Raw genomic sequence first — 27,737 nt, 5'->3', positions numbered from 1 at the left:
TAACAGTCGCTATTCCAGCCTAGGCAGGGCTAAGCCCTTCACACACTTTAGCTCAGTCGACCCTCCCAACAGCCTTGGTCCTCATAATAGGCAAGTAGTTCACAGCAGCGTAGAAACTCAGAGCCCAGGCCTGCTACCTCGCCACACCTCTGCCCTCATTCCTGTGGCCCAGGCCCCTTGACCTGCCCCAGGTCCAGATTGGTAGAAAAAAGGATAAAGTGTCTTATCACCAAGGGGATTAGAAAATGAAAGGTTTCTACTGGCTAAGTCTTCAGAGGGCAAGGGAGCAGGAGCTTGCTGGGTCTGGGTTTCCACCGCGGTGGAAGCTCATTATATAGTGGCTTGGGGTGTGCATGCCAGCAACCCACCCCCGGCCCCCAGCAACCACACAGGCGAATGGTCGACAGTGCACAATTCAAACGGGCATTCATTAGGCAACAGACCCATGTCTGCTTAATCACAGGCAGGGAAAAGAACAAAAAAATTGGATCAGCCTATATGTGCCCTAGCAAAAGCCAATGATAGGTGTCAATACTTACAAAGTCTGCTCCTGTTATAATAATGTGCATCTTAGACACCTGGGGTTGGAAGGAAATTTTGGAGCATATAGAGGCCACCCTCTCCTGGCACAAATTATATCCATGAACAGTTATTTGCTGAACACCTCCATGTGCCAGGCACTGGGTCAGGTGTCTGCTGCTGAGCCAGGTGCTAAGGACACAGAAGGGATGTCACTGAATAATAAGCACTTTGTGAATTTAGAAGACTGGTCCAAATGGCCAGGAAGCCTCTGCTTCAGCCACATCCTCTTGTAAACCACAAACTCCAGTCTTTGCAAGATCTTTTATGAACTCCATCCAGGGCTTGGCATTCATGGTGTTAACTGGGATAAGTCTCTAAATACTTCTCACACCATCCTCCCTGCATAGAGTGCTGCTGCTGTCTCTCTTATTATCTAAATTCTTTTCGTTCCGGACTCTGCTTCAGGTGCTACCCCTTCCAGGACACCTTCTGACGGACCTAGACAGGAGTTGTCCATCTGATGGGCTTCCATCAATCCTGCGTGTGTGTACCCCACCACTTGATTCTACTCATTGCATTTGTCTGTTTCCATGTCTCTTCCCAGCACACACTGAAATAACAGAGGTGCTTAGCAAACATTTCAGGAGAGAATTGAGCTTCTCTGGGCCGTAGTTATTTCTGTTAAGTAAGGTGCACTACGGATGCGACTGTCTATCGAGCCCCAGCAACCTTGATATTTGCGGATCTCAGACTCAAGTAAGGGCTGCTGGGCAGATGTTGTTGCTGGGAGTTGGGTGGTCTCCTAGGAGGGTTCCACTCAAGTTTGCAGCACAGGGCTTTTCCTGGGGAAACCATGTGTAGGCCTGGATTACTTGTGCCCTACGTAATCCTGGTTACTCTAGAGCTATTACTACACTCTCCCTGAGAACATCTGGACTCTTAACATTGTAGAAAGAGTAAACAAGCTTTGTGGCTAACCAGACATGGGGTCCAGTCTTGGGCCTAGCACTCACAAGTTTAACCCTGGACAAGGCATGCACATTTCTGGGTTTATTTCCTAATCTGTATTAGGAACGTAAGTTAGGTCACCTACAGTTGTTGTGACGATTAATTCAGTGTGAGCTATTGCATCCAGATTGGACAGCATATGCCCCAATACGATGAAAGGGAGATTCCATGTCTTAAAAGTAGTAGCAGTGGCTCACCCTGAAAGAGCAAATGCCTGTAAGATGTGAGCTTCTGCCCGGTGTGTGGTGACCACAAAGCACAGGTGGCAAAAAAATCATCATTTTCCAGACTCCAGCATTTTAGTTAAATACGCACAATTTTATTGATTGAAGAGATTAGGACAAAAACATTAAACCAAATACAGGACAAAGCACCAGAGGCCATAGATCCCCACCATGCATGTCACCAACCTCTCCTCCTCCAAGGTACTTAAAAAATAGGGGAGAGGGGAAAAAAAAGGTCCTTCTTGACACAGCACCATCTTCAGAATGTTAAAAAAAAAAAAAACCTTCTCTCCTTTCTATCTTCCATTAGCAAAATAGAATCAAGGGCAAATCCATGGCCGCCTTGTCTCCTGGTTACGAAGGGTGAAGCCGCCCTCCTGGGAACGTGAGGACAGGGCTCCTGCTGCGCAGGCATAAAGCATCCAAGAGTCTGCACATACATGCCACACACTATTATGAAGCACAGATTCAAGTAACATTTACATACTAGAGTCCACGTGTCACCTACCCAAAAACAGGACCATTTCACAAAACATATACAGGCAGTCAAATCCGAACAAGTGAGGTACTGGGAACACAAATATTTATGCCAAAAGAGTTCTGTATCATACAGCAATAGAAAAGCCGTAATAAAAAACATTTTGCCACTCGAAATCAAATAAAGCTATCTAGAAAAGCCAAGTAAAAGGTTATTTCAGAGACAGAAATACTCAAACAAGGAAAAAGAATTATAAATGTTAACTACAGCATGTAATATGTCATCCCAAGTCAACCCGTAATTGAAGTACTGGCTTAATACATCACAATGTGACATTTTCCTTAATAAATAGAAGAGTTCTTGAAAATACAAAGGTGCGTATTGGGATAGAGAGCTGTTTTTATTTATATCATCATAGCTTTCAGCTAATTATCCTTCCCGCTTGTCTCTACTGAGGGTTTTTGTCCAAACCAGAGGGCCTTACAAGCCTTAAAAGGATCATTCTCTGTAAAGAAAACTAAATAGCTGCCCTGTATTTTATACATGTGGGACAACCTGCTTTGTTTCACTAGTTTCTAATAAAACAAAGACAAATGTTTAGTTGCGATCAGAGTACTGCAAAAGCATCAGACTCCAGGAGCTTGCTAAAATCTCAGGCCATTGCTATCATCTCAGCAAAGAGGAATGCCTGTCACACAAACCCTCATTGTTCAAAAGCAAAACATGAAAAAGGAGTTGGATTTCTCTTTTCCTTTCTTCTTCCCTTTTCTTTCCCCCTTTAAACTAAGATAGCAGTAATGCATCTGGACGTTTGACTTCTAATAGCTTCCTGCCACGAACCAATTGACACAAAACAGAATAGCTTGTTAAAGGACAGATTTTTTCCCCCTTCAGGGAGCAAAGCATTAACATGTCATTTCCTGACCAGGATATTAAATAGTTTATTTAGAAGAAATGAGTTGAAGTGAGCGATTAAGAGACACAAACTGGACTTTTGTTTTCTTTTACTGTAGCACCCAGGTTTCATGTCAGTCTGTGTGCACCGAATTTTTTTTTTAAGTGAACCTCATTAATTACCAGCTAGGTGGTTGGCTTGTTTAAAAGAAAAAAAATTCTTGGCCAACTGTTCCTTCCCTGAATCCTAACAAGAAGTTAAATGCTAACAGTGCGATGCCAGGATGTGTGTTTGAGGCAGAGAGTTTTGATTCTGTCAGGATCTGCAACTATTTTGGAACAAAATGAAAAGTGGGGTAGGCGGAAGTGGCCCAAGTGGCAAGGGGTGGTCTCCCAGGCTATGTTAGGGAAGACAAGCTCCAGCGGGCTCCCATCCATCTCACCCCAATCCCCATCCCACGCCTCTTGCCCCCATGCTACGTGGTCAGTCAGCTCCTTGAAGGTTTTCCTGCTCTGAACCAAGAAACTTAAGAGTGTGTCTTTCTTGCTACTCAGCCAGGCAATTCGTGTCCCCCGGAAGAACTCCTTTCCGCTGCCCTCGCTCACTCCTGGAACCTGCTAAGTCTCCGTGGGGCATGAGCTCAGTTAAAGAAAGGGTCCAAGTTCTCTTCCATGTTGACGTCCGGCACCAGCTGGTCAGACACTTCCTTAGCACCATATGCTGAATTCGAGACGCTAAAATCTGTAGAAAACCAAGGATGGTCCAGAATTTCCTGCGAGGTCAGCCGCTCTGAGGGCTCCCGACGCAGAATGCTTCGGATGAGGCACTTGGCCTTGGGCGACAGAGTCTCTGGAATGTTGAACTGGCCACGCCGGATCTTGCTGAAGAGGGAGCTGGGTTCAATGTCATGGAAAGGGTACCGCCCCACCAACATGGTGTACAGCATCACCCCCAGGCTCCACACGTCGGCTGCTTTGCCCGAGTAGCTGCCACTGGTGTTCAAGATCTCTGGGCTTACGTAAGCCGGGCAGCCATGCTTGTCGGAGAGGGAATCATCATCTCCCCGCAGAATGTAGGCGTCTTCCAGGCTTTCCAGCTTGACCCGAGTCCTGCAAGAAAGGAGGAAAACATAAGCTCCTGAGGGTGCTCAGAGACACGTTACCACCAGCATCATAACATAACCGACTATAGTGTTTCTGAAGACTCCTCATTCACATTCATTCATTCACGCATTCATCTGACCAGCCAAACATTACTCACTGAGCACCTTCTAGCTGCCAGCTACTATTCCAGGGCTGAGGACACCCACATGGGTGAACAAGACTGACAAGGTCTTTTCATGCAGCTGATAATCCACTGGGGAGCTCAAACCTTGAGCACCTTAGCGAACCATGAATCACATCATCATCACCCCTGCGATGAGGGAACAAGAGATTAACTAGCTTTCTCAAAGTCACATTTGCATAATGATAGGGCACCACAGAATTCAAACCGAGACCTAACCAACCAGGAAGCCCACAGCTTTGTCTACAACTTTTGGCAGACGTGTAACTAACATGACAGACCACAGTCCACAAAGACCTTTCACCTTACTTGCATTTTGGCCTCACTACAGCCCTTTGTATTAGACACGTAGGATATTAACATCCCATTTTACAGATGAGAATATCGAGACTCAGAGAGTTCGGGTAACTTCCCCAAACCTGTTAGCTGGGAAATGGAGAAGACTTGATCCCACATCTTCCTAAGTTGATGCTGCTGCTCTTTCTGCTATACCAGGTGCCTCTCTTTAGGACCAGGCAGGAAGCAGGGAATGTTCAAGCAGGAGTGGACTCCTATCACCTGGTCCTTCTGAGGCTGACACCCTCGTATCAAGACCATCTTCTTTCCCTGGTCAGGCCCAGTGTCTCAAACCTGTAATCCCAACACTTTGGGAGGCCAAGGCGGGTGAGTTCAAGACCAGCCTGGCCAACATGGTGAAACCTCATCTCTACTAAAAATACGATAATTAGCAGAGCGTGGTGGTGCACACCTGTAATCCCAGATGCTCAGGAGGCCGAGGCAGGAGAATCGTTTGAACCCGGGAGGCGGAGGTTACAGTGAGCTGAGATCGCACTACTGCATTCCAGCCTGGGTGACAGAGTGAGACTCTGTCTCAAAAAAGAAAAACAAAACCATCTTCTTTCCCCAGATTTCCTGCCGCCTTTGTCTTCTGTCCTGCCCCTCATACTCCCAAGGCCTTGTCCTTGACCAGGTTCTAACATCTGATGAAGGTCACCCACATCTTCTGTCTGTGCACATCTGTGATTCCAATTTCCCACGTGTCTGCGTGCATAGGGTGTGTGTGAACAGAACCATGAGCCCAAGATCCTTTTCAAACTAGGCATCCTACCCCCAGTCTTTCCCTCCCATTTAAGGTCCATCATGGTTGCTGACAGGAAAGTAGGACTCTCCAGGGTATGCTCAAGAAAAGAGGTAAGAAATCCTGCATTAAACTGCCTGGAACCCAGCATGCATCCTTACACAGTAAGATCTGATGTCATCATTGTGTATGACATAAATTAAGTGCTCAGGAAATACTTTTGGAAGTGAGTTGAATTCTTATCATTAACTATACCTAATCTACTGTGAGGGCCAGGATGCGCGGTGACTTGTTCAAGGCTATGGTGAAAGTCACTGAGAGCTTCCTCCACCCAGCGCCCCAAGCTCCTAGACCAGCCTCCTCTCCTTAGCTCAGGGGCCTCCTAAGAATTCCTGTTTTCCTGCCCTACTGTTCTTTGAGTGGAAAGTTAGGAATTGCTACCTTCCCGTGCTCAAAATTGAAATCTTCCTCTGACTCTCCTGGCTAGGGCACTGCCTCAGAGAGTTGTAGGTAGTCCTTGGGTCTCAAAAGCTCAGTTAATCTATCCCATCATCACACCCCTGGAGGCTTGCAGAGAAGGTGAGGAGGGATGGGGAGGAGTTGGAGTTAGGATTAAGACAGCATCCACAAGGGCTGTCTCACTCACATCACGTATTTCCTTCATCTCAAAAGCACACATGCAAGCGCACGTGCAAGCATCTGCCCTGTTTGCCCCGAAGTGCAAAAAAAGCTCAAGTAAGCATTGAATAAGAAAGAGCTTGGAAAAACCACATTGGGTCATAAGTCAGAGCTTGTGACTCAAGTCCATCTCCTGCTGTTTCTCTTCCTCCGTCTGCCTGAAGGTCTTAGCCTTTCAGCGTGATCACCACCGCCACTAAGAGCCATAGAAGCGGGGCAAGGTTCAAATTAACCAAAAGATTGCTGCTGGGAGTTCTCTACAGCAAAAGGTTTAGTGAAATCCTGGGTTGACTCTAATGCCTCATATTTGGATTACAGGAGTTCAAAGCTCAAGGAGTGACTACTTTCCGTATTAATTTCCACCAACGAACAAACAATAGTTGTGGTCGTGGGAAAAGGCACTGGGCTAAGAGCTAGGAAGGCAGTTTCCAGGCTAGGCTCTGTCTCTCACCTGCTGTGTGGCTATGGCTGAGTCACTCAACTTCTCTGTTTTTCAGACCTAAAGAGGAGCACTAGACAAGGAAGTCTTTAAAAAAAAAATTATGTAGTAAAATAGACACAACATAACATGTACCATCTTAAACCATTTTTAAGTGTACTTCATTGGCATTAAGTACATTTACACTGTCATGCAAACATCTGGACAAGGCAGTCTTAAAGTCTCTGCCAGTTTTATCATTCTGGGATTCTGTAATACCCATCTCTCCCTTTTTTGTGTGCTCACTCACATTCTATTATAATCTATAGAATACATAGTCTTCTGCGCCTATAGCTAATGTTCTACAAAAACAGGAAGGATCTACATGTGCTAATCTGGAATGGAGCTGATTAAAAACAAATCTCTTTTGTCCTTTTGCGTTTCCTAATCTAAGGTGGCAGGTGGAGCTGGCCCACGAGACTTACTAGCTGTCGAGATGTGACGGAGGTGAAAAGGTGAAACCCAAGGGGCAGAGGAAAGGAGGAGGAAGGCGGGGATCTCGAACCACAGGCACCGTGAGTTCTCTCCACAGCTTCCTCTACCCATTCTCACCCAGCGCAAGCCAGACTCCTCATCTCCAATTTCACTGTTTTAGCAGAATAGCTATGGAAAGAATTACAACTGTGGAAATAATAGTAAGAAGAAAAACAAGCTCTCCCATCTGTGGGACAAGGGGCGGTCCAGTGGAACAAGCATGGATCTTGGTATCAAAGGGCCCAGGTTTTGCCCAGGTTCGTCTGCCCCAAACCTGCAGTGGTGATGCAGCTCATCCAGGTGGAGGCCTAGGGCTTGGTCACGGCTGCAGGGTGACCCCCAGGGACTCTCGACCATCTCTTGGGCCACACTCCCTCTCTCTCCATCCCAGCCTGTTTGCTGTTCCTCACATGCCCAGCTTGGCCCCAGTCCTTCTGAGGCCTTTGCCACAGTGTCCCCTTGCCCTAATTGTGCTTCCCCAACTGTGTGACAGCTCACTTTTGTCTTGCCTCTGCTCGAATGAAGGTTATTAAACTTGATCCTGTCCATCCTACATTACGGAGCACGCCCTCCTCCTCTTTTCAGCATGGGAGATATCGTACATTTACATTTCATGATTTACTATGTATCATTATGGTGATCATTTTGGGATGATCACCTCACTTCCCACCTCCAAGAGCCCATGGGCATGTGGTTGATGTCATTTTGTACGCAGAGAACAACACTTAAGTTTGCTGCTGTACCTTGAGTACCTAGACGAGTACCTGGCACAGGGCAGATACACAATCCATCAATGACAGGGACTGTCCTGCTGTCGACCCCAGGGGGTGAGCTTCAGTGCGCTCACCGGCAAAGGAACAAGGGCCGGTGCTCTGCCTACCTGGCCAGGGTTTAGTGGCAGTCAATGAGAGCTCTACAGAGGATGGGCTTTGTAAATGACAGCATCAAGGAATCTCCCATAGTGATAAGGGGGTGGGGATATCAGGCATCTGTCAGTAAAGGTGGGAGGGAGATATGACTACAGGGACTTGAATTTCTCCTCGCTCAGTCTTGTCAGGGTGCAGAGCTCACCACCTCAAGCTTTTCGTGCAAGGGACTCTCGACCATCTCCCTCTCCCTCCTTCCCAGCCTGTTTGCTGTTCCTCACATGCCCTGCTTGACCCCAGTCCTTCTGAGGCCTTTGCCACAGTGTCTCCCCACCCGGATTGTGCTTCCCCGACTGTGTCAGCTCACTTTTGTCGCATCTCTGACCAAATCTGAGGCCCTTTTCCATTCCTATCCCCTTCCAGGTCACAATTTTAGATTCTGACTTTCTCCTTCACCTCCTCCTGCCCCCAGGTGTCCCCACATTCAAAGCATCCTAACCCCTCTTTCTGGAAGCCTCAGAAAATGGTTAAGGCCTCCACTCTGTCCACTAACCCTGGCCTTCCCCCAAGCTGGAGTTCACCTTTCACCTTTCCTACCTCAAGATGAGCACCCAGAATCTAGGCCCGATACTTCGTGAATTTGAGAATAAAATGAAAAGACCATCCCACATGCTGCCAAATACCAGCTGCCCCTAAGCTCATGTATCCAACACTACGTGCTCCTTTCCTTCAGAGGCTGAAATTTTAGTGGGGAGGGCCCAGGTCTGCTTGTCACATTTGGTTCGGCACATGCTGCAGAAGGACAACCACAAAAACCAGCCCAGGTCAGAGAGCAAAGCAGTGTCCTGAGGCCACAGAGACCTGGGTTCAAGATCAGGCCTTGAAAATTACAAAGTACCAAACGGCAGATGTCATCTATGTACCTAATGCATGCGAGGCACTTACACATATAGTCTCTTTAAAGTTTAGGAGATCCATTTCCAAGGCAGGTACTATGATTCCTTTTCTCATGGACAATGAGCCTAATGCTCAGAGAGTCTGAGTAGGCTCCTACGGCTGGCAAGGCAAGGCAGTGGCTGGGTGCTCACCTTCCTTAGGCCTGACCCCACCTACTCAAGCAGCTGGCGGAGGAAACCACACCAGGGTTGCTCAGTTCACTAGGCTCCATCAAGGTGCGCTGTACGTGTGCTTCCCCAGTGTCAGGGGACAGCCAATCCTTGGGGCAGGAGCCTGCTCTTTCTCTAGGGGAGAATCTGCATCCCAGGCAGGAGAGGGGCAAAAGAAAAGAGAAGCCGGGAGAAAGGATGGGGAGGAAATGCAGGCTTGCTGGCCTTGGTAGGTCATTCTTTTGACCTTGCTTCCTTCTCAGAACACTGTGAACTTGTTTACAAAACTTCTAGGCAAGGGTCAAGGCAACTGGTCTGGATTACGTCTTTCAACGAGGACCTTTCAGGATGCATACCACGCGAGAGGAATGGAGGGAGGTCTGACAGGCGGGGGTGAGTGTCAGCTCTGGTCACTGTGGACTTGCTGTGTAACTGCAGGGAGGCTGCTGAAGGTCTTTGGGCCTTGGCTCCCTCCTCTGGGAAAGAGGGCTGCCAGTCACGGTCTCAAGAATGTGTATGGGGAGTCCCTGGTGGGGCTCTAGCACATGTCAGAAATGGGAGCAGAAATGAATGAACAGTCTTGCAATGGCTCATGTCCCCTCACAGTCTGGGCATTATGAATTTTCCAGGCAAAGGAGCTGATTTCCATAAAAACCAACAGAAGCATCTGTGGACCTAGTAATTCAAATGTCCCACTAGTCATGCAGGCATGTAAAAGACATTTACCGAGCATTTACTCTGCTTGAGTTCCCCAACTAGGCACTGGGGAGACAGACATGACAAGTAACACCCACCTTCTCAGTTTTTGTGAGAATTAACTGTAATAATGCAAGTACGGTATCTACCGAGGAGCCTAGCATGGTAGATCTGCAAAAAACTGGGGGCAACAATAATGATCGATCTTATTATTAAGAATGAACCTTTGCACCTACCCTCAACCCAAAAGCCTAGTGGAGAAGATAGGTGAGGAAGCACGAAATGCAAGTCCCCAGCATACGGCCGTAGATGTGAATTCTCGTTCCTTCCTGGGTCTTTTGCACTTGTTCCTCCCGCGGGCTGGAATGCTTTTCCCCAGCTCTGTGCCCAGCCCAGTCCCCTCACTTTATTCAGTTCTGACTACAGTAATCAGGATATGCTTCCTGGAAGTGGTGGTACCAGAAACAGTCCGAGAAGAATAAACATTTCCCAAAGAGACAAGGGGTGGAGGGTGGTGGCAATTTTTGTGCCTAAAACGCTGTAAATGACAATGGTTATCTCCAGTAACTTCTCAGGGGAAGAGACATCTCCCTGCCAGCCACCAGCCTGGGGCAGGATTGGTTTGGCCAGAGAAGCTGGATCCCTGCAGGCCTTTTGCAAACTGTGCCTGGCATAGGAAGAGAACAGCCTGCTTTGCTCTCAACCTGCTGAATGAACAAGGCTTACACGTGGGCAGCCTGTGTACTCAATGACGGCCCAGCCCAGTGCCAGGCCTTGTGTCACCGGATCCCGGTGCCAGGTGAGGAAGCCAAAAGCAGCAGGGTGTGGTTCCTCTCCCAGCATCTGTGGAACAGCACAGGTCGGCACTGAAAGCCCCGATTCTCCCCCCACCCCCATCCACTCTCAGCACAGGCTCCAGAGCTCCCTTGCGCCACTAAGTTGAACTACCAGTGTGGCCCCTGGTTCTTTTGGCCTCAGTTTCCCTTCTGTAAAATAAGAACAAATAGCTACAGGGCCTGAAAAGGGCTCGTCTAGCTTCAGAATTCCAGATTTTAAAGTTTCCTTTAATTCTTAAGCTCTAGTGATTACAACACACCATATGATATCCTAATAATAATTATAGTAACAATAATAGAAACTATGTGTGAAGCATCTATAAGATGCTGAGATTACTACAGCTTGCATCCTTATTTCTCAAAACAAAGTAAAAGACAAGTATGATATATGCATGCTACCTAATATATAAGGAAGCTGAGGCACAGGGAATTAAATGCCCTAGGCCATACACAGAGAAACTGAACAAGCTGAGCTCTGAATCTACATCTGGACTCTAACGCCATTGTCCTTTCCAAAATACATTCTGGTACTAAAATCACTGATTTACTTAGGGCCAAAGAAAGAAAAACTTTTAAAGGGAGACCCTGAGATGATGGAGGCAAATCTGGTGCAGTTTATTCAGCACTAGATCTGGTACAAAACCATCCCATTCACAGCTAACTGCTATAGCTCATGAGGTAGATACAGGTGACTAGACCTGCCCATTTACCGGATGAAGAAACTGAGGTAACAGAAAGTAGATGTGACTTGTCCAAGGCCACCTCGCAAGCCAGTGACAGAGCTGGGATTCAAACCCCGGTTTTTAACTCCAAGTTTAGTGCTCAATCCACAAGATCAAAAATAGTATCCACAAGCAAATCATGCCGTATTTTCCAATCTTTAAACAGCACTGTGGGCCCTTGGCAGGAAGAGATCAGGACAGGGTGGGCCAGGGTGGGGCTGAGCTGGGAGTTCAGCCAGACAAAGTGGGCCTGGCAGGGATGGGAAGTCCGGTGGCCTAAGGTCAGTGAAATCCAGAGAAGTCACTGAAGGCCGTCCAGTCAGGCGGTCCAGATAGGCTTAAGGGTCAAGTGAAAAGGTCAGCTGCTGCCAGATCTGACCTTGCCCTGACTGTTACTGAAAAAGTCCTCTGGGCAGCCAGTCCAGCTGTGAAAGCCAGGGTCCCGCCCGGGGCGGCTGCTACCAAGGGCCTGGGAAGGACCACCTGGCACCATTGGCACCATCATGCCGGCCTGGCAGCTGCATTAGAACGTCACAGGCCACTAAACGATGCCAAATAAATTGTCGTTCACTTAATTCTGGTTCATGTATGCACAGACTTTTCCAACAGTCACCTCTGAGAGCCACCTCTGCACCAAGTCTTGGAGAGTCAGTGAACCACCCCAACTCCTACCTCAAATGGCCCACAAATTAGCAGGGAGAGCAACAGGTGAGCCACGGGGGAAGCATCTCAGGGCATCGTGGTGGAGGGAGAGATGTCTATAGGGAGAGAATATGCCTCTTGTGACCTTACAACACCACACAATCTGGAAGGTGGGTGTGCCCACACCGATTTGATGCAGGAGACTACAGCAGCTTAGAGACAGATGAAGGAACTTGCTTGGAAATAGCACAGTTGGGATGGGAAACCCAATCTGACTCAAATACTCAGGGGTTTTCTGCAGTGCCATCTACCCGGCCACGACGGAATCCCTGCCCTGTCCGCATGCAGGTGCACATTCCTGCCCGACTCCCATCCATGGTGCCTGGATGAACAGGGGAGTCTCATTGTACCCGAACACCTTCCCACGCCCCCATGCAGACACCACACAAGCACAGCCTGCAGGCCGCCAGGGCTTCACAGAGGAAGTCCATCCTGTCGCCATAGGAACAGAAAGGGAAACCCAAGAAAGAGGAAGCCATGCTGACAGGAATTCCTCATCAATGCTCCATTCACTCCCTGCATTGAGACTTTCAGCCATGGCTCCTGAAGAATCCCTCCTCCCCCATATCAGTGGATTGGCCTCTCCGCAAAGCTTCCGCAGGCTCAGTGCTGGCCAGGGGCACCCAGCGATGGTGTTGCTGCCCTGCCCGGTGGCTTAGGAGTGCTTCGGGGTCCAGAATTTTCCCAGTCTTGTTCCAGGTGTGGGGTGGGAGTTCACAGAGTTCAGGGAGGCCTGTGAGTGCATCTCTGCACCCACTCGCAGGGCCAGACAGGGACGCTGCACTTGACAGGGAGCCCCACACAGGCTTGTGGAGATGTGCGCGTAGGCACGTAATGAATGAGATCAAGTCGAAAAACCTGGGTCCTGCACTTGGCTGTGCCATGAACACATTTGAAACCTTGAGTAAGCCCACTCTCCTCCTCATTGTTTGTAAAGATAAAAGTGTCGGGTTTAAACCCCCACTTGTTGCCCCCAATTCTTCAATCCCACTGCCACAGTCTCAGTTTGAGCCACTTCTTCCTAGAACCCATGCCCGGCTGCTTTACCCAGTTCATCTTTCACATGTACTTCCGGAATCACAAACCCATCCCTGCCATCCAGAAAAACCTTTCAATGGTTCCTTCTGGGCTTCAGGTCAAGTTGGAGGTGAGGGGTGTGTCTTTCAGGCCCTGGACTCAGCCTCATCTCTGTCCTGGCACAGGGGACCCTCCAGCAGCACAGCCCTCCCTACACACGGCTCTTTGTGCCTCTGGCTTGACTCATGCCTTCTGGGACCTCCCCATCCCTACTACAGCACTCAAGCCAACCTCGTGCAGGAGGTCATCACCTCCCGGAGGTGACCATTCTCCACACCGTACTCCACTGTTGGAACTGTTAAATAATGCTTACAGCTAAATAACTATTGAATAATGATTACATCCATTAGGCAAGGACTCTCTTGTACTGATTCCTGTACCATCAACACCTAGCACCGTAGGACAGAGTAGGTGCTTAATAAATGTTTGCGAGATAGAATGACCCCCATATCTAAGACTCCCCAACTCCAACATTCTATCTGGAGTTCACGGCATCTAGGCAAGACTCTTCTTATGCATGGCAATGTCTAGAGTCCAAAGAAATTTCAAATAGCCTGGACTCGGTTTCATGATTTAGAGAAACTCCCAAGAGTATTGAGTAGAAAACAACATTGAAAATGAGTTTCCATCCACTGCATTCCACTGTCAATATGGCTAGTTGATTTTTCTTATGATATTCACGCCACGGGACATAAGGGGCTATTTGTATATCCATGGCATCAATGGTCACACATTCCTAAGTACTGCTAAGTCCAGTGCTAGGCATGGAGGATAGAAAAAGAAATGAAGCCCATTGTATAGTTCCCTGGGGAAAAACAAAAACAAAACAAAACAAAAAAAACCCACAGAATGGAACAACAGGACGTAGGACTGCCCGCAGGGTTGGCTCATTGGTGGCCCAATCCATGACTGCTCAGGAAAACTGAGTCGTGAGCTGAGTTTTGACCCTGGCTAGTCAGGTCCTCCTGGTGCACACCTGTTGCCTAACTGCGTGAGAAAATTCTTTCTCAGGGTTGGGCATAAGAGACGGTATTTTACCTGTTGTCTATTTCCTGGAGACAACCTAGTATTTGAAAGCTTGGGCTCTGGAGCCAGGGGCCTGGGTACCAACCCCAGGTCTGCCACTGGTTGGCCATTAGACTCTGAGGATCAATTTTCTTATCTGTAAAATGGTGAAAATAAGAGTATCTTACTCACTGGGTTTAAATTGATTAATTTAAATACAGTAGCTAATTAGAATTAAATTGGTGAATCACATGTTATGAGTAAAACACATGGTGGGCCCTAGATATTATTTCATTGAAATGTAGGTCTCATGAGAACAGGGTTTCTCTCTCACTGGGCTCTGTAGTGTCCCCAGCACCAAGAATAGTGCCTGGCACATAATAGATGCTCAATAGGTATTTGTTAAATAAATAATTGAATCTCCGGGCTGTTGGGTTATGAGGCTCAATGACATCAGAGGATGCCCAATAGCAATAATGACGGCTATGTATTCAAGTAGCTGCAGTGCACCAGGCACTGTGCTGGGCACTTAACATATTAATATATTGTCTCTTCTCATGATTTCAGAGAAGGCAGGCTAAGACCATAGGGCTAAATGGAGTAATAAAAAAATCTGACCACTGTGCCTCTGCTTGGTTTGCTTGAGGACCCACACTAGCCCATCAACTAGTTACTAAGTACAAGCAGTAAGCAGCCCAGCAAGAAATCCTGCTGAAGAATACCTACTATTTAGTCTACTTATAAGCATGGAACCTGGAGGAAGCTCTCCCCTTTCTAACCGTGATTAGAAAAGCCCTTCATGAATAAAATTACAGCCTGCCATAGACACTGAAAACAATGTCTTAAATAAATGTCACTTCTGCATAAATCATTAAATTAAAAGGGAAATGATGGGTAAATTTCTCACTTGATGGGAAACTTTGGAAATAGCTCTCTTTGAAAAGGTGTCTCCATAGGGGATGTATACGTTTTCTGGGCTCCCACTGATTCCAGGCAATGACCTAGACACCAATACTCTACTTACCCCTGCCTCTCTCTTTCTGTCATTAGAATCCAATCTGAGCTGCTCCCACTCAAAAAAGGAGACATTCCGTCAACAAATAGCAAGGCCCAACCTGTTCCAGAAGCAGTGAACATGAGACAGCCTATGTCCCCAGGAAGCCCCCAGCAGGGGACAAGGACAGTCTACAGATGCACACACGGGCCATCAGAATACAGCAGGAGATGAGCTCTGATGAGGAAAGGGAGTGCTATGGGAGAGAGATCACTGATCCACCCTGGGGAACAGGAGGCTCGCCAGCCTTCCCCAAAGGTTGGCAATACCTCAAGTACATAAAGGGGTTTCTCATAAATAAGGGAATTCCAGGAGCTCCATTTCCTTCAAAGCAAAAACGAAAGGTATTTTCCCAAAATACAAAGCGCCTACAACTTGAAAAAATGTACACAGCTTTTAATGAAAGAAAAGCTGAGTCTGGTCTCCAGGGTTTCCATGCCTGCCCTCTGTACTCTGTTAGATACTGAGACCTCAATGGAGGCGGGTGCAACTTGAAGATCTGAAGGAAAAGCCAATAAAGATACTAAGAGCTGAGAAAGAGTGCCTTGACCTCTGTTGGTGGGGGAAGGAGAAACGCCTCCACCCCACAGGGAGGCACAGGTCTGTGAATCTGGGCAGGTGGCGTTTATTATACCGAAAGCCCCCAGGCCACTGAGTTCCTGCAAACAGTCGCAGCTTCCACCCTGCTGAAGTGGGTACTGACCGGCTTCCACAAAGCGGAGGAAATGAAACCTGTCACGTCAAGAGATAAAGATCTTCTACCCAAAGAAGAAACATGTAAAGAGGCATGTTTCTCAGTTCACATGGGGTCCTTCTGTGCAAGGAAATGTCAACACTGAACTGAAACTGAGGCAGAGAGTGGCAGAGGGATGGCAGGAAGCCTTGAACCCAGAGAGAAATCCAATGGGCAAAAGCAAACAGGAAGTGCTGTGGTAACAAGGCCCCACCCACCTTCCTTGAGCAGCATAAGGGTGCACCTGCTCAAAGGGCTCTTCGCATCTTGAGTGAGCCAGGGAACTGGCCCTGTGACCACAGAGTGACACTGAGTGCAGAGGAGGCTTCCATCAGCAGGAGCTCCCGTCTGCTGATGGCTGACTGTGTGCTAGGTAGGAGCTCCCGTCTGCTGATGGCTGACTGTGTGCTAGGCATTGGGCTCCCTTGTATTAATACATTTAATTCCATGATGGAAGCCATGTTGTTATTTCCACTTTGCAGATGAGGCAGTCTGGGCACAAAGCTTAGGTAATTTTTCAAGGTCCATTCCTAAAAAGTGCAAGAACAGGGATTGGAATCCAGACGGCAGCTGTGACTCTACATAGAAGTAACAGGACTTCTCCCAAGCTCAGGCCTTCCCATGAATTAAAATGGAATTGGAGGGGCCTGAAACATGGGGCTTCTAAGAATAGACTGATCAAGCAGGTCACCCCAATGCCACAGCAGAGAGGGGGAGGCGGAGTGCACAGGGCACGCACTTTGGGGATGTGGGTGCTGCCTTCTATCAGATTCTGAGCCATAACCAGCAGGGTGGCCGCTACTACACACAGACTGTCTGAGATTTTACTACACGAACTGTGGATGCACAGGGTGTGGCCAGGTGAGTTCAACTGGGATTGGAGATTAACTTCCTCAAAATGCTGCTCAATGCCTCTGGGCCCTGAGGTTTTCCTTTTCAGCAGTATAAACAAAAAGAACCAGGCTCTGCCCTGCACAAACATCCCTGGGAACGAAGGAGAAGCAGCAGTCCAAGGCCTGCAACACAGAAGCTGATTCAGGCACGGTGGGGTATGATCCTCCACTCCCTACATGTGCCTGTGGCCGCCTACTCCAGTGCACATATGGTCAATCTGGCCTTTCTGAGCCTCAGGTTCCAGACCAGGTGCACTTGACCTTTGGCACTAACTTAATGATTATAATTAAACCAAACAGAGAGGAGAATGTGGCCTAAATCTGAACCCCTATGTCACAAGGGTGCCACTCTTCACTGAATAGGCTGCCCAGGCGAGCGACTTAATTCTTCAAGAACCCACTGAGTCCTGGGAACTGCTCTCCCATAATGGTACTATTTCGTCAATGACTCTAGGAACAGCTGTCCCTTCATGAGTGCCTGCCCTGCCCGGTGAGTCACAGAATCATCTCATTTAACCCTCACAACTGCCCGACAGGAATGCCATTATTATTTCTGCTTTGAGGAACCGCAGCTTAGAAACATTCAATGACTTATCCAAGATCAGGTAGCTAAGAAGAGCCAGAAGTTAAACCTAAAACTCAAATCAAAGTAAAATGGAAACAGAAGACTCTGAGCTGCTGCCATTTCTACCCAGCAGCACAAGGCTTGCTGGCATTAGGTCCAAACATAACGCTGGGTGTCATCTGTGTCTGCCTGCAAAACCACCAGTGGGGGACCGGACTGAAGGCGCTGGCAGTTCCACTAACAACGTTTCCATGGATGGCCATGGATGCAGAGTCCCAGATGGCACACAATCGAAACTTTAGGCACAAGGAGTCAGCCCATAGGCAGGTCTTCTTCTGCACCAGGTGGGCCTCAGCCAATTTCACACGTAAAGCCTGCACTTTCGATTGCTTTCCAGATCACCAGAGTTCAAGAAGCACATCACTGAGAAGAAGACTGATGCGCAAAAGAGGTGTGTGATGGTCAGAAGATGAATAAAGCAGCACTTCCCAAATTTGCTTCTTTGCTTTTTCACCGTGGGACCAATGCCCAAAAGGTGAGAAAACAGACATTAACTCTGTGGTTTAGCTTTCCAAAAGCCTTTAAAATTTAACCCATTGCTTCCTTACACTTTCGATGTTGTTGAGGGAGAAGGAAGCTTTAGCTCCACTAAAAGTGATGCAATTAGGGTGGAAGATGAGAGTTCCCAGCAGCAAGCATGGAGCCAATGAGGTCCTGGGCCCCTGACACTTGGCCTCACACTCTTCCCTCAGGAAGTGCTGGCAATGTGCTCCATGTAGGCCACCATGCAGGCCAAATAAAAGAGAATCTGCCATGAAACTCAATGCTGCCAGGAGGCAGAGAAGGAGAAATACATTGTGGAACAAAAAGCAGAAGTTTCACATTCTGGAATCGAGAGGTTAAAATACAAAACAACAAGAAGAAAAAGGTGACTAGGCATGATTCCCCTTTCACAAAAAGTTGATAGTTGGATTTTAGAAAAACAAAAAAGCTCTTTATCAATCAGCTACTGCTGAGAACATTCAAAATGTCCTTGAAAACAGAGGTGACCTTCTCAGAGCTGCCCAGACAGACACTTGTCATGTTCCTGAAAAGCAAGCCCACTGGGACCTCCATGTGACTTGGGCTGGAAGAAGAGCTCTCGATGGAATGACAGGATTTCCAGGCTGGCTGCACCCTCAGACTGGCTGTGTAACATTAAGCCAGCTAGGTGACCCTGCCATGAGGCCAAGTAACCTCACTGATCAGATGGAGGAGTTCTCATTTTCTCCAAGGTCCTACAGGGCATCAGCCTCAAGGCTGGCCCCTGGGGCAACACGGCTGCATGGCCAAAGGGGCTATCACACATGCCACCATGCTGTAGGGACTATATAGGCCAGCTCCCTACAGTCCTTTACATTCTCTTTTTACCTTGGAAAATGCTCTTGAAAATGAAAAAGGATTTTGCTTTGACATGTTTACTCCAGGCAATTGTTTCGGTTTCACATTCACACTGGATACTCCTTTCTGGTTATCTCTGGACAGGGTCATGCTCTTTCGCGAAAGTCAAACGTAACTTCCAGACGGAATGTCAGAGGCACACACTCCTGAGGTTGGAAGCTTCTTCCCTGGATCCTGGGACATCAAGGATTTTGGCGTGTGATGACACACTCATAAAGGAGAAGCAAAGGCTGGGTGGGAGTAAAAGCCCTCCACAGCCCAGGTGAGGCCTGGCTGTGCTTCACTGGCTCCTAGCTAGCTGTGTGCACTGGGGCGTGCTCTCACCTCTGGAGTTCTGCCTCCTGGCAGCAAACCAAGAGAGTGCCACACAGACTATGCAACCTCCGGGTCCACTTTTGTTCCCATGTTCTATGACTTGGGGACCTCCACCCTGCTCTACTCATTTGCACAAACATGTATTCACTATGGGGGTCCTATCCCTGAATAGGCCATTCCTTCTACTCGTTGGTGCCCGAGAGTTCCTCCCTATGGAAACACAATCAAAGACGACACTTAAAAACACAGATCCCTGCGAGAGAGGGCATTTGCTGTCCCCATGCCCTCTGGCAGACAAATGAATTTCTTGAGAGCTGACTTACTAGTGAATGTGGCCTTACTTCTGCTCTTTCCTGTCCGTAACTTTGGGACTTCACCACGTTGCACTTTGGAGCTCTCGTCTATACAATGGACATGATGACATTCACTTCAATAGGGAGAGAGAATTAAACTTTAACCTTATGGTAAGAGGTAAACAAATATGACCTCTTATTTTTGTAGGTGCAGTTATTAAATCTCCAAGAAAGGTGGAACATACAAGGGTAGAGAGAATACCTTTGTCAGTATCGTTGGGGGTCAACATATATTCATCTTCTAAATGAGAATATTCAAAGAAGCACATACACCAATTTATTATTAATTGAAAAGACCTTAGAGCCAATACAGCATACAGAAGGTAACAGAAGGAGAAATATGAGGCTGGTAGGGGGAGGGTGGAAACAGACGAAGGACCAATCCAAGATCACAGAGGGTATCGAAGGCAAAACCAGGGGAAACATCTCCAGGCTCCAGGGGCAGAGGCATCTGAGCGGAAGAGAAAAGGTAAATGTGGTTCCACACTCTAAATCTTCCAACAGCTGCCCCTTCTCAGTTTGTTAATAAAGGTAAAGGCATTCACAAGCAAAGATCAAGATATGAGCTGGTCTCCACATTATGTGGGGCCTCATTCAGGAACTACGGTGAGCAATGAATACAGATTTGTTGCCTCTGTCCCTCTAAACTCATATTCTTAAAAAGAACAAAAAGGGCTTGAAGGAGTTCTTGTAATCAAAATCGGCTGGGAGAGAAAGCAGGGCCCCAGCAGAGTCTGCTAAATAGAAGGTAATGAGTTAACGGCATAAGCCAGTTGCCTGCATCCTGTCCAGCTGTCTCCTCCAATAACCAAGACCTCTGCACTGCCATGCATTTGCATCAGCAGTTTCCTCACCTGGAATGCGGTCTTTCCCACATTTCCTGAAATCCAGTCATCTTTCGAGTCTTGGCTCCAAAATCACCCCTCCTGTAAAACCTTCCTTGACTCTCCAAGTCCTAGGGAGAACTGACATGTCCCCACCACCCCAGTTCTCATCCCACCCAGCACGGACCTCTATTCTGAGCTGGTAGCATTTCCTTTATAGGTCCGTTGGCTATCTAATTCATCTAGATATTAATAGTACTGAGAATTGTGACTAATACCTAATATAAGCTTAGGTAAGAGCTACTGAATGAGTGCATGGATGAATGAATTATAAATGACTGATTCTGGCTGCTGAGTGTTCTGCGGGTAGAATTTTCAAGGCCCTGCCTTTACTGGCATTGAAAATGTCAAAGAGGTTTGCAGCCACCTTCGGAATTCAAGACACCTAATCATACATATTCATTGGGTCACAGAATATCCTGGTACCTGTCCTTTGAGCACCAGATGACACCTTTAGAATAGTAGCTATTTGTTTTCCCAAACACTTGAAAATTGCAATATTCACTTCCTTTTGCCCTCCTAAGATTCCTTCCCCTCATCTGGACCACAGACGGCAAAAAAACGTCCATTCAAGACTTTTCTAGGAAGCTGTTGTTAGGAGCAGTCCATCACAGTACCCAGGTCTGGACAGGATGAGACCTACCTCTCTTCGTCCTTAAAGATGAATTTCCGCAGCTTGAGGTCCCGCAGCACCAGCCCCCCGTCATGGCAGTGGGCCACTGCCGAGGCAATCTGGTAGAACAGTCTGGCTGCCTCCTCCTCTCTCAGCTTCTTGCAGGTGCGGACGAAGGAATGCATGTCCCCATAGCTTCGCTCAAAGAACACATAGGCTTTGGTCTCACCCAGGATAATTTCAGTGATTTGGTTGATGTTACTATGAGCAGACAGGCAAAAGCACGGTGCCAGGGATTCCTGGTAGCAGCTGATATCAAACACCTACGACAGGATTAACAGTAAGACCAAAGTCAGAGGTGCCTCTTGTACAACCAAAACACATAATGCTGCACCTCCCACAGGTATGGGCTTTTGAGATGACAGAAAATATGCTGAACTTGGACCCAGACCACATTGGCCCTGCCTCCTACCAGCTGTGTGGCACTAAACAAGTCACTTAACCTCTCGGAGCCTCCAAATCTTTACGTACAACATGGGAAACTGATACTTGACTCACAGTGTTAGGAGGATTATATGAGAAAATGAAGGTGATAGTGCTTTGCAAAACGTAATGCAGTACAGAAATAATAATTTTCATTACTTTTGTCTCTAGCCCAATTGCGTGTTTATAGAACTAAGGCAAAATTGGAGAGAAAGTGATCCACCTCAATGACATCAACAACACTTTATTTGCCTTCAAAAATAAAAAAAAAGAAATGCACATAAACAGGCATTATACAACACATGAGCAACTAAGAGAATAAACAGCTAGCTTTTGCCCAGTGGTCTCTAATTCAATACTTTCATTTTACAGATATGGAAACTGAGGCTCAGAGAATGAGCCAAAACTCAAGCCCCCAGTGGCAGAGGTAGGAATATGATAGAATCCTTCTGAATAGGGAAGCAGCCTTGCTTCTTCCTCTCTTCCCTCCACAGATATCTAACTCAATGAACCAGTTATGCAATGATTTTCTATGAATCAAAATTAGCCTGCAAAATGCCAACTCATTGTGCGGTTGCTTAAAAAGAAAAGGCACCATCAATACCTTTTGAAACAGACCTAACAGCAATTAACACTACAGAGAATTTTTGAGGTTATATAAAAGGCGCTTTCATTCATTTCAAGACCTCCACTAAATCAGGAATACAAGTCCCTGGGTCTGGAATGTGGTTTTTCTATCTGCCTGGGATGTGGGTAAGATGAATCTATTCAGTGTGTGCGTGAGCCAGGGGCATGCGTGGGTGAGCTTCGCTGGAAAGCATCTGAGGCAGGAACGCCCTAACAATACACTGCATGCTATCAGTTCACAATGATTTAGCTGCCTAAATCGCTTTTTCACTAGTTAGACATACTTTCTTTCATCATCATTTTGCAGTGTGGTAGGAAATATGCTGGACTGGAAGTCGGCAACCTTGAGGCACTAATCCTGGCCCTGCCACCAATAATCTGGATGAGATGGATAAAGAGCTTAGGGTTACTGGACCTCCCTCCTCTTCATAAAATGAAGATGTTGATTTAGAACAGTGTTAACCTTTTTTGGGTCCTGATGTCACATAAAATCTGATAAAAGCTCTGTTCCCTCTTAGCTGACAATGCCCGTTCTCAAATGCATGCACGATACCGGATTCATTTTAAGGGGATTCACGGGCTTTCTGAAGCCCATCCAAAGCCACAGACTGCTATTTAAGAATCCATGAGTTAAGTTGCTCTAAGCTTCAAAAAATTGAAACAAAATCTGTGAGTCAAACAGGGATGTAAAACCTCAAGAGTTGCTGCTAACACGGCCAAGGAAGCAAAGTTAACAGTAATGTTGTGAATGAACCATAACGAGGCATCTCAGAAAAGCGGCACAGCTGCTGCCACTATAACCTAGAATTTAAGAAAGAATACTTCAACATCTCCAGAGACCACAAATCACACACTGATACTGTCAAATGATGACCCAAGAGCAGTGACCTAAGAGGCCTGTTCAATTAGGAATCTGAAATGCTTGAATCAACTTTAACACCCTGAATGCAGGCAACAGAAACCCAGGGAAGCCTCAAAAATTTCGAGGAGTAATAAGCTTTGCAGTGGCTAACGTAAACACTGCATCATATAATGAAGATGCTGTGTTCTGAAATACCAGGTTGCAGCTTCTGTCGCCAGTGCTCACAGAGTTATGATTATTTATAATCTACTTCCTGTTTCCAGGTGCATTTACAAAAACATAAAAGGTGACTTTTGCTCAGCACTTTTAGCCTATTATCCTGCTCCACTGCTGAAAAACTGGAGACAGAATTTTTAAAAAACTAACATATTTGTGGCAGCTTCAAATGTAGCCATACCTTTTGTAGAAGAGACCAAATTCCAAGATGGTGGACAGAGTATGAAAAATAAAATAAGTACTTATGTTTTCCCACACGAGAAGGAGCCAAACTTTTATTAGTAGCTATCAGGGGCATTTAGGGGCTTGGACTGGTATTTAAACCATCATCTTCACGTGCAAAATCAAGCCACAAGCCTGGTGCCAGCTTCTTTACATGTTTAATTTGGAGCCTTGGTTATGTAATGTGACAGTTCAGATAAGGCAGTAAGATTAGGCCATCATTAATAACATTTGCAAAAAAAAAGTACCCATTCTGCCAAGATAGTAATTATGTCAATCTGCACAGTAGCTACCAGTATCTCCATGAAAACATACAGTTAAAGACTCCTTAAAGTGCCTTCATTCATCTAGCAAAAGTAGGTACATGGAGACAATAAGCAGCCTTGATTATTTTGTTTAAATGACTCTGGAATCTCTATTCCTCCAAATAGTGTCCTATGGAATTCTCTACGCAGTCCCCTATAATAAATAGCATCTTTACATTTGATCTGTTTTTGCAAAGAATTTTTTCATTGGTCAACACACAGCTAGGAAACATGAGCCTTCTATTCTAAGACATCAAAAGGAACTAGATTCAATGTGTAGATTTCACTGAGCCTTAAAGTAAGCTAAGAGACCACAGCATATATATCTCTCAGGGCAGTTCAGAGAAGCAGCCTTATAAAACTCTCTTGGAGCTTCTTCGGAGATACACAACTATGCTTGCATAAGAAGTCACCCACATCATCTATGGTAAAAAGTCAGGAAAACAGAAGCTGCTGTGTCTTAAAGGGATGACCTCTGTCAAGCAGAACAATGATACTGCACTTAAATCCACTTGCAGCCACACTGTAATTGGTGAGGGGCTGATTCAATCTTTGCAATAACTAAACCAGCAGATTAAGTCCAATTTGAGGCCAGAGCACAAGTCTGCAAATGACACTGTAAGGTCAGCCCAAAGTGAAATATGTCTTGCAAAATCTGGAGAAAGAATGAGCAGAGGCCAGAGTCACCTCTGATTTTAAACAAAGAAGTAACAGCCAGATGCCCCTGCAGAATTTGGCTGCAGAGTCCCTATACTTAAAAGCATCTCCAGCCTTTGAAAAATATTAAAATGCTGTACTGAAGTTGAGCAAAAGGAATGAAAATATTCACTGCTGGGTGATTGTGCATATTTCATACAAGAGTGGCAGTTCTGTGGAATTCATTCATTTCAAAGGATGACTATCCTATTGTGCAACCTTGCAGACTTCTGAGAATTCAATCCAGCTACTGAATTTTGGTTAACTGGGCACAGTTGCTCTGGGTCTCAATAACTTAGAGAAGATGCAAAATACCAAATGCTCAGTACAAGCAAAGGGCAACATTTAAAGAGTCTCCGATTTCCCCCTAAGGGCTGAACTGAACAATCGCAAAACTGACTGGAGATCTCCACTAAACCCAAATTTTGCAATGAAATACTCCAGTCCACTAGGAAATAAGGCAAGTCCGCAAAGTAGTCTGTGGTGAATGGCAAAAGCGCGATGTGTTATTTGCAGCACAACCGTGCCCAGTGACCATTTCAAAGGCAGAATGGGTCCCCCACTCTCCCCTTACCCCCTCAAAAAAAAAAAAAAACAGTCAGCAAATCTAAAATTAAGTGACAAAGAATCCTTGATCTAGGTCCAATTCTGGGTAGTAGTATGCTCTATTATAGTTATTTTCTTTTTCGCAACTATTTCGCCCCTCATCCACTTGTCTGGGGCCCGGTGGGTGCACACAAAGATACACAGACACACATATACATAAACCAGTCACTGTTCAGGGTTAAAGACAAAAAAGGAAACCGAAGTGTCCATCGCAGTGGTATTACCACTGCGGATCCCTAGGGCTCCAAACGGGAGCCTCTTAACCTTACAGGCAAAGGTGTTGTTCAGGGGGGCACGGAAGAGAGGGGATGAGCAGACAGGGAAGTCTAGAGATGGGGAGAGAGACCAAGACCAGAGAGAAAGACCCAAAGCATTCACTATTCACCAGAAAGTGCTCAGGCTTTGATTTCCACCCCAACCCTCCTTTCAAGGCTCCAGGCAGAAGAAAGGTCTTTGTAAACTCCTTCCCTGCGCTGGGCCCCTGGGCTCAGCCGAAGGGGGCACCTTTGTGTGTCTGTTTTAAAGGGCACCTTCGGAACAAAGGTTTAACACCTGCCCGCTGCTAAGAACAATGGCTGCGAAAAGAACGAAGTCATCAGTCTTAAAATTACCGGGGGATTCCCTAATCCTTGTTGGAAGGGGAGGGGGCTAGACACAGGAAGAAATCCCCCCCGGGCAGCGGGACCCGGCCTCGCGCAGAGAGCTCCTGGAGCCTTCGGTGCACGCGTGTCCGTGGCCCCCGCGCAGTCCCGCCGCCCTCTCCTCCCCGGGCTCTCCCCGAAACGCCCCCACTGCCGCCCGCCCCATTGTCTGAAACGGTCTAAAAACTTCGCAACTTACCGAACCTGAGCAAATAAATAAATAAACCCATTTAATAAGGCCACGGTAATTATCCCGCGAATCTCCCTCTCCCAGACTCGAGGGCCTGGCGCCCTCCCGCTCCCTCGGGCCCCTTCCAAAGACAAAAAGCAACCCACTGGCCCTTTACCTTGCACACCAGCTCCTCTCCGCTGTGCAGATGCACGGCACGAAAAACGTGGTCTCCCTCCAGAGGTTCCAACAATAAGTATTTCCCGATACAAGAAACGCAATGCGACAAGTTCGGAGTCTCGGGCGGGCTCGGGGAGCCGAGGTTCGGGCTGAAACTCTGGCTGGGCTCCGCGGACCTTATAGACGACAACTCTTCGAAATCCTGGGTTTTGTTCCGCGATCTCCCATATCTCGCTATTGTGATGGGGGTAGACCTGTGTATGTTCATGAGTGTGAGGATCGCACACGACAAACAAAAAAAAACCCGCTGGAGAGATGAGTCGCTGGCGAGTGCGGCTGCAGGCGCCTCGGTGCCACTGATTTTAAAAGGGAGCGAGAGGGGAGGGGACAGAAGAGGGGCTGCGTGGAGAAAGAGTTAGAAGCCCCCAAATGGGCGCCGCCGGATACCTCGTCTGCTCCGAGCCCGGCTCCCGGGGGTCCTCGGTCGGCAGGCAACTCGGGTCTTTTTGTTACCCCAAAGCAGTCGGCGATGTGCAGAATCGCCGCACTTTTAGTTACTCTGTGTGTGTGTCCCCGGCGTGGATCTGGATGAGTACCCGGGCTGCTAAGGTGCGGAGCTGCAGCGCCAGGGCTCCCGACGCGACCCCCAGGCCGGCTTCCGAATCGCAGACGGGGCGGAGGAGCCCGCGGTAGTTTGTGCAGTCTTCGGGGAGCTCACGGCGGCGACTCAGTCCCAACGCGTTAGAAGCCAAACAAAAAGAGAAAGGAAACAAGCACGGGTCTACCGGCTGGCGACGCACGGCAGCCAGAATCCGCGCTGCACCCCCTTTTTTTGGTGGAAAGGGTGGGGGGCGTGTAAGGGGGGGGTGCGGGAGAGGGCAGTTACCTACGTTTTAACTGTAGATGGCGTCTGAGGCTTTTCCAAGATCGCGAGCTCTCCAAAAATTAAACAAACAAACAAAAAAAAGAAAAATTGCAAGGGAGCATTTAACTTGGTGCGGTCAGCGCTGCCAACAAAAGATTGCAAAAGCTGGGCACAGAGTTGCGGCGCGGGCTGGGCGCAGGTACCGCGACAAAGCCCTGGGCTCGGCCCGCCGCGCGGAGGTCAGCACAGGCTCATGCTGTCGCCGCTCGCTCGCGCCCCAGGTCTTCCTCCGAATGCAGCCAGACGTGCAGGAGAGAACGAGGACAGATCGGCGGTCTCCGATTTCGCCGGCACGAGCTTGCGGGGGTCCTGCGGGCGCTGCAAGGGGAGCTGCGTCCCTGGCCCTTCCAACGCGCGGCGTTCCTTTGCCCCTTTCCCGCTGGAGAACTGGATCTCGTCCTGGAATAATTTGCAATCACCCCGTCTCCCCCTACCCCGAGACCAAATTGCCCGGTGGGGTTTGTTTTGGAGAAAATTGACGGCTTGTCTCCTCCTTCTTTGATTTCTTGCTTGCCCCCCCCAGAGAAAAGAGGGGACCGTGTATTTAAAAATTAAAGGGGACGGCCGACGGTGCCCGAGGCCAATCCCCGCGCTCAGCACGCCCGCATCCCCCGGCGAGGCGGTATTAATAGTTACTTACGTGGCCGGGGATCTCGGAGCGAGCGGGGCCGTGAGTGCGCGTGTGCGCGCGCGCGCCTCGCTCGCGCTCGGTCTCCCCATTCAATGTCACCGACACATTTCCACGGAGCCTCCGCCCCCCCCCCGCCGCCCCCGCGACTGGCTCAGCCCAGAGCCGGCCCCGCCCCGCCCCCGCCCGGGCCCCCCT

General features: G+C 47.8%; 1 protein-coding gene and 1 non-coding gene across 3 annotated transcripts, besides 8 other annotated features; both read right to left on the bottom strand.

The window, feature by feature from the left end:
* On the bottom strand, window positions 1,828–27,626 carry TRIB2 (tribbles pseudokinase 2). Of its 2 annotated transcripts, none has more exons than NR_027303.2 (3): window positions 27,552–27,626; window positions 21,010–21,302; window positions 1,828–4,236 (listed from the first exon to the last, which is right to left on the bottom strand). NR_027303.2 is itself a non-coding variant. In NM_021643.4 (3 exons), the coding sequence occupies exons 1-3, from the start codon at window positions 26,252–26,254 to the stop codon at window positions 3,768–3,770; spliced, it is 1,032 nt and encodes a 343-aa protein (NP_067675.1). In that variant the 5' UTR covers window positions 26,255–27,626; the 3' UTR covers window positions 1,828–3,767. The 2 variants fall into 2 exon arrangements, 1 of the variants encoding a protein (NP_067675.1); NM_021643.4 differs by having other exon boundaries at window positions 25,985–27,626.
* On the bottom strand, window positions 7,118–7,195 carry MIR3125 (microRNA 3125). The gene has a single exon (NR_036072.1). It is a non-coding gene; the product is annotated as a microRNA 3125 (primary transcript).
* Window positions 15,889–15,948: an enhancer, noted in NCBI's record as "active region_15342". NCBI's record gives its function as "activates an Ori minimal core promoter by ATAC-STARR-seq in GM12878 lymphoblastoid cells {active_cell/tissue: GM12878}" and the evidence as "EXISTENCE:reporter gene assay evidence [ECO:0000049][PMID:35858748]".
* Window positions 15,959–16,008: an enhancer, noted in NCBI's record as "active region_15341". NCBI's record gives its function as "activates an Ori minimal core promoter by ATAC-STARR-seq in GM12878 lymphoblastoid cells {active_cell/tissue: GM12878}" and the evidence as "EXISTENCE:reporter gene assay evidence [ECO:0000049][PMID:35858748]".
* Window positions 17,080–18,279: an enhancer, noted in NCBI's record as "CDK7 strongly-dependent group 2 enhancer chr2:12866409-12867608 (GRCh37/hg19 assembly coordinates)". NCBI's record gives its function as "activates an origin of replication core promoter dependent on BRD2, BRD4, P300/CBP, MED14 and CDK7 cofactors, with strong dependence on CDK7, by STARR-seq in HCT116 cells {active_cell/tissue: HCT116}" and the evidence as "EXISTENCE:reporter gene assay evidence [ECO:0000049][PMID:35650434]".
* Window positions 25,160–25,797: an enhancer, noted in NCBI's record as "NANOG-H3K27ac hESC enhancer chr2:12858891-12859528 (GRCh37/hg19 assembly coordinates)". NCBI's record gives its function as "activates a minimal SCP1, AML or CMV promoter by ChIP-STARR-seq in naive H9 embryonic stem cells {active_cell/tissue: H9 hESC(naive)}" and the evidence as "EXISTENCE:reporter gene assay evidence [ECO:0000049][PMID:30033119]".
* Window positions 27,077–27,716: an enhancer, noted in NCBI's record as "H3K27ac hESC enhancer chr2:12856972-12857611 (GRCh37/hg19 assembly coordinates)". NCBI's record gives its function as "activates a minimal SCP1, AML or CMV promoter by ChIP-STARR-seq in naive H9 embryonic stem cells {active_cell/tissue: H9 hESC(naive)}" and the evidence as "EXISTENCE:reporter gene assay evidence [ECO:0000049][PMID:30033119]".
* Window positions 27,077–27,728: a biological region, named in NCBI's record as "H3K27ac hESC enhancer GRCh37_chr2:12856972-12857611".
* Window positions 27,159–27,228: an enhancer, noted in NCBI's record as "active region_15340". NCBI's record gives its function as "activates an Ori minimal core promoter by ATAC-STARR-seq in GM12878 lymphoblastoid cells {active_cell/tissue: GM12878}" and the evidence as "EXISTENCE:reporter gene assay evidence [ECO:0000049][PMID:35858748]".
* Window positions 27,669–27,728: a silencer, noted in NCBI's record as "silent region_11183". NCBI's record gives its function as "represses an Ori minimal core promoter by ATAC-STARR-seq in GM12878 lymphoblastoid cells {active_cell/tissue: GM12878}" and the evidence as "EXISTENCE:reporter gene assay evidence [ECO:0000049][PMID:35858748]".

The sequence above is a fragment of the Homo sapiens genome, chromosome 2 (assembly GCF_000001405.40).
Source record: "Homo sapiens chromosome 2, GRCh38.p14 Primary Assembly".
NCBI classification, from domain to species: domain Eukaryota; kingdom Metazoa; phylum Chordata; class Mammalia; order Primates; family Hominidae; genus Homo; species Homo sapiens.
Note: the sequence above shows the minus strand (reverse complement) of the source record. Positions and strands in the feature narration are given on the sequence as shown.